Source organism: Homo sapiens, chromosome 3 (assembly GCF_000001405.40).
Source record: "Homo sapiens chromosome 3, GRCh38.p14 Primary Assembly".
In the NCBI taxonomy this organism is placed as follows: Eukaryota; Metazoa; Chordata; class Mammalia; order Primates; family Hominidae; genus Homo; species Homo sapiens.
Genome location: NC_000003.12, coordinates 72,245 through 82,974, shown reverse-complemented (window position 1 = coordinate 82,974; position 10,730 = coordinate 72,245). Strand labels below are relative to the sequence as shown.

The window sequence follows — 10,730 nt, the reverse complement described above, 5'->3', positions numbered from 1 at the left end:
TGTACTTTTTATAAACAGATCATAGCTTAATATGTCATATAATCACATAATATAATTATATTAAAACATTTTTCCCCATTTTAAGCCTAGTGCCACACACAGTGCCTGACACATAATCAATACTCAATGAAGATTTACAGAATTACTGAGTGAATGAATTAAAGAATGAATACTTGAACTACCAGCATTTGATTATCAGCTTTCACAGCTGTAATGGAAAGAAGTCAGAATTTCAGAAACCTCGACAGGGTCTCTATAGGGAATTGCAATCAGTCATCCACCCCCAATCAATATTTATACAGTGTGAACTCTTCTGGGCTGGGTAGGAGCAGCATCTTTTTTCATCTTTCTATCACAGGTTGTTAAGCAGGGCCACGTACATGGCAGAATCTCAATAAATGCTTTTAAGTGACCACAAAAGAGTAAGATTTGACCTTTCTCTTTAAAGGATACATAATCTATATTTTGGTGGCAACAAGACTGCCTCCAATATCTTGTAGGTTGCTGCCTACTACTCCTACAGGTGAAAATGAATATAAATATCATATTTGCTGAAGTTTCTTTATTTTTTTAATTTTCTAGGTTCAATTCCCTTTCAAAATGAGAAGACACTCATTACGTGGGTCTCCTCATGACTTTACTCTAAGACAGTGATTCAGAAAGAAGAATCACCACTCCCCATCATGAGTTACTATGTAGGAGATAAAGCAATTCATCTTTTGTCATTAAATTGTGACATTTGCCTGCATGTGGCCTGAGTTCCAATAAGCTTGGCTTTGTCTAATTCCCTGGGTCATTAGCCATGTAATCATAATTATTTTCAGCTGTGCAGATTGGTGTTATTTTTCTCATCCATTTTTCTCCTCCCCTTCTTCATCACAGTTCTGCATTGATGGAAACCATGAGAGCACCATCTGGTACAACCTGTGCATGGGGCCAGTGAAATGAACGGCAGCCACTGGAGGATGCCCATATTTCATTAGCTGCACTCGTGCTGCCTTCAGTCTCATGCCATTTCCAGTCCCTCCAGATTTCACTTCAGGGAGTTCAAGGGCTTCTGAAGGCTGCCTAAATACAGACTTCCTGTCCACAACACTGGTGACATCTGAAAAACTGTCTCCGCTGAGGGTGATACAATTGACATCAAGGTATGAATAACTGTATTTGCAGAGAATTAACATTTCCTGCATGTCTACAAACTGATCTCCATGAATCACAGTGAAATTGGTACATTAATCCCCTTTGGTATTCTTAGTAGTTCGATATTGTGCCACAAGGAGGAAATGGCATTGAAATGGAAGCCAGGAGATGTGATGTGGTTTCTAGTTTAGAATCTCTGCTGTGCAACCTGAGTATGTGACATCTTGCCTTTGAGTTTTTCTCTCTGGGCCTCAATTTCATATTCTATAAAATGTTCCTCAAAGTGTGGTTCATGAACATTTGCCTGAGAAGCACCTGGGAGGCTGATTTTTTAAGACGTATATTCTTGAGTGATTTCTGCTTCCCGGCAATATACAGTAAAGATGCTTTTGCCAATTCCTCCCATAAAGTACAGCTAAAAACAACAGCAAACATGAGAAAACTCTGAGATGTGAAGAGAAACGCACAGACTGGCTAGATAATTAAGACTCCAGGAATGACATCGGTGAGTTCCCTGGATTCTCTTTTTTGCCTCATGTCTTGGAGCTGAAGAAGGTGGCAACCTGAAAATGCCAATTAGAAACAAAAATGGCCCCAGCAAAAGTTTATTCACTGTAGCCAAAGGACCAGGAAACGGGCAGCCTGTCAACATACAAAATATTTAGATAATAACCACTCTGCCCCAACTAATACCACAGAACTGTGGTCCCATCCCCAACAGTAAAGGCCACAAGGAAAGTCTAGACTCCCTCCCCCACCTATAACCAGGTGCTTCAACACCTCCACTGGGGTGCTGCCAAAAAAGGCCAAGTAGGATCCAGGACTTTTATTCCCCACTGGCAAGTAATGAAGCTCACGGCGCCATGGTGTCAGTGGAGAACATTTGGGGAACTGGAACTCTTAATTCCACCAAGCAGTAATGGGGAGCCCTACCCCCTTGGGTGTCAACAGAGACCAAGTGGGAAAGCTAGACTTCTACCTCCACTTGGCAGGAATGTGTTAGTATCCTCCTCTTCCTAGACATGCTGGACTTATGTCAGGGAAAGCCAGCTAAAGCAGAAGGTTTAAATAAGATCTAGAGCCTCAAAACATAATATGAAAATGTCCCCGTTTCAATAAAAAAATCACTCATCATACCAAAATCCAGGAAGACCCAAACTGAATGAAAAAAGGAAAATCAATAAATGCCAATATCAAGATGACCAGAGATGTTTAGAATTATCAGATGAAGATTTTTGAAGCTGCCAAGATAAAAAATGCTTCAGAGAGTAATCATGAATGTACGTGAAACAAATGAAAAACAGAAAGCTTCAGTAAAGAAATAAAAGGTATAAAGAAGACCTAAATGGAAATTTTAGAACTGAAGAACAGTATAATGGGAATAAAAACCTCAGTGGGTGGGCGTGGCTACAAAAAGGAGAGCTAGAGGATAAGATCAGGGCCCTGAAAGATGGAACAGTAGAAATTACCAAGTTTAAACAACAGAGAGAAAAGAGACTGAACAAAAGTGAACAGAGTTTCAGGGACCTGTTGGACTACAACAGAAGGTCCAATATTCACGTCGTTGGAGTACTGGAAGGAAACGAGAAATAAGAGCTGAAAAAGTACTCAAGCAAATAAGGGCTGAAAACTTTCAAATTTGGCAAGAGGTATCAACCTACACACCCAAGAAACTGATTTCACACTGAACAGAAAAGGCCCAGAGAAATCCATGCCAAGTTGCAATATAATTAAGCTTCTTAAAACTGAAGACAAAAGAAAAAAATCTTGAAAGCTGCCAGAAAAAAAATGGAATTTTTATCCATAGGCAAAAGAACAATTCGAAGGACAGCAGATTTCTCCTCAGAAACCATGGATGCCAGAAAAAAATGACAAAATAGTTTTCTAGTCTTAAAAAGAAAAGATTTGTCAACCCAGAAACCCACAGCCAGTGAAAACATCCTTCAGGAATGAAGAGGAAATCAAAACATCATTAGATGAAAAACTAAGAGAATTTGTCATCATCACACCTACTTTAAAAGAGTGACTAAAAGATGTTCTCTAAGTAAAATTTTTTAAAAAAGGAAATTCGAAAAATAGAAAAGAAAGAAAAGCATGGTCAGCAAAAATACAAATAAATACATTAGATTTTTCTTCTTCTCTTTGAGTTTTCTAAAGTATGTTTGAAGGCTGAAAGAAAAATTGTGACACTGATGTGGCTCTAGATGTATGTAGAGAAACTATCTAGGATAATTATATCATAAATGGGGGAGGGTAAATGCACACAATGGGAGCTAGAGGATGTGGGCGTTGTATCAGGAAGGCAATAATAGCTTTTCCCAAACACCCTGGAAGATTTCTAATTGTGTCTCGCTGGTAAGAACTCTACCACCATGGGCACCTAGAGGCAAGAGAGTAAATGCTTTTAGTCAGGCACATGGATTTTGTTAAAAATAAAAAAGAGAAGGATAACTATTTGGTGGACAATAAACAGTATCTGATACTAACTCTGAGAGCTGGTGAATGAGTTATATAAGATACTATTTTTAAAATGCTCAGTGCAGAGTCTAGCCCATATTACTATTTATACTAAATAAATGTCTCTTTCCTTCTTTGATGGAAACATATAAGAGCACAATATTGTATTTCAGAGATCCAGAATAGACCTAATTTTTCATTTTCAAGAGTAATTTCAGATCTTTTCAAGAAGATATTAAGGGTTTTGATGTATTTTCTGTCTTATTGCCTGAGTATACGCAGTAAAAGTTGACAGTTAAACAGTAAATAATGGGTAAGATAAAGGGTCATGCGTTCAATAAGTTTAGAAATGTAAACCAATATCCAACATGTATACTGGAACCGCAGAAAGGACAGTGGTGATGCAGGAAGAAAAAAGCCCTGCTATGTCAATTAGAAGCAAAATATAGAGCTAGAGGCTTCCCCTCAATGGAGGAGAGTTTATCCACCCCAATTCCTCTCCCAGGTATACACTGTGGTTTCCTGCGTCCACACTCCTCTACCAAACAATCAACCAAATATTTTATTTCAGGGAATGAAGCAAAACCACAACTCTTCTAAGCCTAATGCTAAAGTACAGAGCCTGGGTGGATTTCTGTGTCTGTTCCCTGTACTTTTCACAATATTTCCTGAACAAATTCCTTTTTATATAAACAGTTGCCAAGCTCAGACTGTGTTTGCATTAGAAGATGCTGAAGAACGTTATGAGCTATATGCTCCCAGGGAACTCTGATTTTGTTATGAGCTTTATGTTCAGGGGACTCTGATTTTGAAGAAATAAAAGCAATAAACAAAAAACTCCATAATGACAAAAATGTGAGCTGAAAACTACTGGATATTTTATTAACAAAAATCCTCCCAATCAGTTAGAGTCTCTGCTCTTCACCAATATTGGTTTAGAATATGCAAAACATCATTTATTTTTATGTTTTTTTGTGAGGATATCAAAATAAAATTCAAAGAATCCTGCTGTATTTGATACGGTTGGATGTCCATCCAGTATTCCATCCCCAGTTGTTATTTTCTTGAGACACCCACGGTATTGTTGAGTTATCTGCCCTTCTCCCACACAGCCAGAAGCTCAGGTCTGAGGTAAGTTTAAGGTAATGCTATGTTCCTCACCAGCTATCCATTCTGGAATGAGCACATGACTCAACACTGGACAGTGAGGCTTAAGGTTTCTGTGAAAATCAATTAGCCTTTTAAAAAGAGAGCCTCTTTTTCTCTTCTTGACATTGCTTTTTAAGCATAGGATCCCTAGAAATGCTTTAACCACCAGGCCCCCAGCCAGAGGATCTAACCAACAGATCAGATTCATTTCTCCATCTTTTGAGAGATGGGAAAAATCCTAAGTTTTTGATGGCGTCGTTGAGTCATTGGCTCCACCAAACTTGAAGCCTACTTGTCCTAATCCTCAACTTCCAGTTACAGGAAATAATTTTTCTTATTTTTTATTTCTCTTTCAGTTGTCATCGGAATCACAAGAATCCTAATTGAAACATCTGGAAAAACCACAATGATAAAAAGTATTTCAGAAAAAAATTTTTAGTAACTGAAAATCAACCAGAAAACCAAAACAAACAAACAACAACAACAACAAAACGTGCTTTAATTTAAACCCCGGCTTAAAAAAGTTATTTCCAAACGGTGTGAGCCTTCTTCTCGTACTGGGAAGCCTGAAAAAGTAAGTATGGTTTACTCTTTATTCATTATATTTTTGCCTAGATCTTGCAGGGCCTTAGAAAATCGTTATAAATGTTGATACAGACCGTCTTAGTGTCTTAGTGACCCTTGAGCTATCAAGGACCAGGCACATAATGTGGCTCTACTGATAACTTGGGTGAACCTTGGAAGATCACTCTCATCCTTTTATTTCCTCTATTAACAGAAAAAAACATAAACCACAGAGTAAAATATTTTTAAAGGTTTATTCTGAACCAATATTGATAGATGCAGGAGGAAGATAAGAAGGAGGGACCCTGGGGAATCTCCTACGAGTCTGCGCACTAGGGTAGCGGGGTTGAGCCAGGAGAAGTTCAGGCTGTTTGCAGCAGGGAGGAGCCCGGCCTCTTCAGTTTCCTGTATGTGGCCTGGAATCAATCTGTGAAATGGGGGCCTGTTAGCAGGAACCCCTCTTGCTCTGCTGAGAGAGATTTTTTTTTCTTTTTTTTCCTTTTTACCCAGTAAATTCCATTCCCCTCACCTTTCAATGTGTCTGTATGCCTAACTTTTCCTGGTCATGTGACAAGAACCCAGTTTTGGCTGAATTAAGAAGCAAAGTTCTATATGAGTGATCAATATGAGTGATCACAGCTCAGGGAAAATACAAAGCCAAGAAACCTTGAGGTAGGCAGAGTCCAGTTTGGTCTTATAAGTTTAAGGGAGGCAAGAGTTACAGGCAAAAACATAAATCAATACATAATGGCTATACGTTAGTTCGGCCTGAATAGGTGGGATATCTTAAAGTGGGGGACTTACAAGTCATAGGTGGATTCAGAGATTCTTTAATTTGCAGTTGATTAAAGGAGCAAAACTTTGTCTAAAAACTTGGAGTTGGCAGAAAGGAATGTTTAAGTTAAGGAAGTAAAATAGTCATAGAGCAAGCCACAATATACAAGATCAAATGACCTGGTAAGAAAAATTGATGGCCTGCAGGCATGACTTAACCCTTGTCTTGCACAGCCTTAGGTCCTGTTTATCATTTGATATCTTATTGTCACAAAGAGTCTATTTTGTCATTCTCATGATATCTATTTTTACATTAATACAGGTCAGTTGTTGTGTCTAAATCCCAAAAGGGAGAAGGTATAATGAGGTGAGTCTGACTTCTTGTATCTTCATGGCCAGGGACTTAGTTTTTCAGTTTTCTCTGGGGTCTCCTCAGCCAAGAAGGGGTCTGCTTAGTCAGCTGGGAGGCTTAGGATTTCATTTTTAGTTTACACCTCATATCTCTTACTTTTATCATTATGTTTTCTGTTTCTCAAAGCTTAAAATCCTAGGATCTTGGTTTCAGGAGTGTTAATTGCATTCCAATTAATCCATACATTTTCAGTTGCAAAGGAGCATAGCAAATGCTGAGTGCAAAAGCATGTGTATATTTTTTGTAAAGAAGCTATTGATTTAAGGAAGGCACATTTGTGTGCCTTCAAATAGCCACACAAAGAGAGAGAGAGGATCGGGGGAGAGGTGTGGAGGGGAGGAAAACATATTTAGTATATACATAATCTCCAGCAAAACAAAGAGAACAGTGAATTATTTAGCATGGCACAATTTGAAATTAAGGAGGCAAATTTTGACTAGAAATGGAGAAAATGCTTCTTGACAGTAAAAATAATTGGGATTGTAAAATCACATCCTGAGATAGACGGAAGGTGCTTTATCTTGCATCATTTGTGAAGGTGGGAACACGCAGAGGAAATATTCTAGAAAGTCCCCATTAGGGAATTAATTTTTCTCCTGACATATTGTTTTAATGTGGCCCAGTGATTCTGCTGTTTCTCTCTTTCTGAAATAAACTGGTAAAGACAGCCAAAGAAAAACATTCGTTGAAAATGTGAAGAAATAAGTATGTGCTGTATAATTATGGTGAATATGCACTATCTTTAACAATAATCCAGAGAATGAGAAAATTCTAGGGGTTATGAGGAAGCACAAATGTCATTCAGCCCTTCATTAGAAAGTTAATAACCGTCTATTATCTTTAGCACCTAATTTATTTATCACCTACCTGTGCCAGCCTCAGTATATTCTTTTTTTAAAATCACACTCCTTCCTGTAAAACAGACTTTATTATCTTATTCCAAAGAGGAGGAAATGGACTCAGAGAGTGGAAATATCGTCTGATGTCACACAGCTGTTGAGTGTATGAGGCATAACATTAATCCAGTTATTGGCGTGGAAACTCAAATGCTTTCTTTCCACCATACCACATTTCTCAGGAGACAAAGATCCTAATGTTCAGAGGTGAGGTGTCTGTGCCCAAGTCTTGAAACTGGTTAATGCCAGGGTGTCAGAGTTGTTCGAACCAGAGTGACTCTATCTTGAATAGGGGCTGGGTAAAATGAGGCTGAGCCCACTGGGCTGCATTCCCAGGAGGTTAGGCATTCTTAGTGACAGAATGAGATAGGCTGTTGGCACAAGATATAGGTCATAAAGACCTTGAGGATAAAACAGTAAAGGAAACATCACAAAATCTGGAAACATCACAAAATGATTCCTTATTGGTGGCAACTGGTAAACCTCTGGCTGAGGAAGCCAGATCAGCTTCCTCCAGATGTTGCAGTGAAGAAGCCCAGCCAAAACTCACCAAAACCAAGACGGTGATGAAAGTGACCTCTGGTCATTCCCACTGCTCATTATACGCTAATTATAATGAATTAGCATGCTAAGAGACACTCCTACCAGCACCATGACAGTTACAGATGCCACGGCAATGTCAGGAAGTTACCTTATATGGTCTAACAGGGAGAGAAACCCTCAGTTCTGGGAATTGACCACCCCTTTCCCTGAAAACTCATGAATAACCTACCCCTTGTTTAGCATATAATCAACAAGTAACTAAGTATCAGCAGCTGAGCAGCCCATGCTGCTGCTCTGCCCTATGGAGTAGTCATTCTTTCATTATTTTACTTTCTTAAAAAACTTGCTTTCACATTATTTATGGTCTTGCCCTGAATTCTTTCTTGTGCAAGATCCAAGAACATCCTCTTGGGGTCTGGATCAGGACCCCTTTACTTTAACAAGGGCAGACACTATCCTCAGATGTATGCCCTCCTCCTTAGTCCACTGCTTTTTATATGCACATTATATAAATGCACCACTTCAGTTAATAATCAGGTTCTAACATCAGGGTAATTAGAGGTAGGGCCACGTCACACCTGCTTATCTGGTTGGTGGCAATTAAACTATTTTTGTAAATGTGCCTCCCCCAATATTACCTTTTCTACATGTTGTGTTGTTCCCCTTTCCACTAATATATGTTTATCATGATTAAATCCTTAAAAATATAAAACCTGCCAGGTACAGTAGCATGTGCCTGTAATCCCAGCACTTTGGGAGGCTGAGGCAGGAGGATCCCTTGAGTCCTGGAGTTGGAGACCAGCCTGGGCAACATAGCAAGACCCCGTCTCAAAAAACAAACAAACAAAATATGTAAAACCTTAACAGTTGTTGGAATGGTTTCACCCTTCCTGGCTACTCATTTACAGAAAGATCATATGTGACTTCTTCTCAGATAGAGCTTGATCTATTCACTCTACACTTCAATTTCCTTAATCTGGCTTCTTGCATTTCCCCTCCCCACACCATTCCCCATTCCCTATACATGGACATCTCACGCCCTCTTTCCTACCTTCAAGTTCCTTCTTTTTCACCTACTTGCATGCACTGTGCTTTCTCCTATGTTAAGTATTCGTGCTTCTGCCCAAAGCTTTGTTGCCAAATTCTGTTTTATGTCAAAACTAGTCTGATTTCTTTGAGAAACCAGAATTGCTTCCAGTGATCAATAAAAAGTTAGTCCTTATGCTAGCTTGGTGGGGCAGCTAGCACTATTCTCACAAATTTGAAAAAGACACTGGTAACTTCTGAGTTTAAATGACCTGACTGACAACTTTGACTCACAATCATAAGCTAGGGGACCTAGGACAGGCACTGAGCAGAGCATTTAAGAACAATAAGAATTCAAGAGGAATGACATTCACAATATCTAGTCAAAATGGAAGGATCTCTTCCTTGAGTTCCTTCTTTTCAAACTTTTGCTCTCTCCCTTCCCTTTAAAGACCACATTCAATGATAGGGTTGTCTCTTTGAATTGCAAATGAAACCTGGCTCTCTACAAGTTCGCTCTTGGCAGGCCTTGCAAAAGGACGTTTAAAAGCTGGATTCAAAGTGGCAGAGGGTTTCAAATTCTGGAAACATCACAAAATAGTTCCTTATTGGTGGCAACTGGTAAAACCTCTGGCTGAGGAAGCCAGATCAGCTTCCTCCAGATGGTCCAGTGGAAAATGCCCTCTGAGCTTTCCCATTTAAAATGAAAATGGCACATATTGACAAATGTGGTTAATATAGTTGTTCTGTGACACTGTAATATTCTCTCAGTTTTAATTGGCACCCAACTTGAGGCTCTCAGAGTGAAAACAATGGGGAGGGGGAACTGGAGGGAAACTTTATCTGAGAAAATATGGAAGTTTTGAAATCACAATAGCCCTTTACCACATTTTCATCTACAAGTAATAATACAGATTCCCCCTGGGGCTAAGTGGTAACGCTTCAGGATGAAGAAACACACACACATACAGAGAGAGAGGAGAGAGAGAGAGAAATACACAGCAAAGCTCAACCAGTACTCAGTGTAAGAAATACTACACTGAAGGCTGTCTTCTAAAATGGTTGTTTTGAGGAGGAATGTTCTCTGTCCTGAACTGGAATTCACTGCACAAAAACAATGCTCTCTTCAAAGATTCTGGCACATGTACAGATAGCAGGAGGCATCCAGAAATCCTTGATAAACAGACATGAACTTTTGCACAGTGACTGGAAGCAAAGTGATTTGCAGCATGAATGAAATTTTTTGACCTTAACACAGAAAATCTTCCTTGCCTGATAGTAAACTCCTGAAACAAGAATTCATTACAGACTCTGTGGTCTGATTTTAATGAGGTAGACCATGTATGGTGGTTTGACAGTGGCCAATGTTCAACATTGATTTTTGTCCTTTTTAAGTTATTATTGAAAGTAATGGCAGAAACCACAATTACTTTTGCACCAACCTAATAAAAACGGAATGAGATAAACCAAAACCAATGTGACTTGGCAAACTGCGGAAAGTAATACTTTGGAAAAGACAAGCTAAGTCTACTTTTTTTTGAAAAAAGAAAGAATGAGAGTCCTATGGTAAACAAAAAACATATGAGCTTTATTCAAGAAAAGCAGGGCTGCGGTGTAAAAGGCAATGCTCTTGATATAGTCACCTGAATCATTAATGTGGAAGACGTGTGTGTTTTTCACAGCCACCTTTCTCGTGGAATTTAATATTGATGGTGCATCCAGAGCTGGGGTGTTTTTCTCAGGCAGGAATACTTTAAGGGGCCTAGTTG

The 10,730-nt window shown here is 39.1% G+C and overlaps 1 annotated feature.

Annotated features, from left to right (window-relative positions):
• Window positions 4,776-5,975: an enhancer, noted in NCBI's record as "CDK7 strongly-dependent group 2 enhancer chr3:118683-119882 (GRCh37/hg19 assembly coordinates)". NCBI's record gives its function as "activates an origin of replication core promoter dependent on BRD2, BRD4, P300/CBP, MED14 and CDK7 cofactors, with strong dependence on CDK7, by STARR-seq in HCT116 cells {active_cell/tissue: HCT116}" and the evidence as "EXISTENCE:reporter gene assay evidence [ECO:0000049][PMID:35650434]".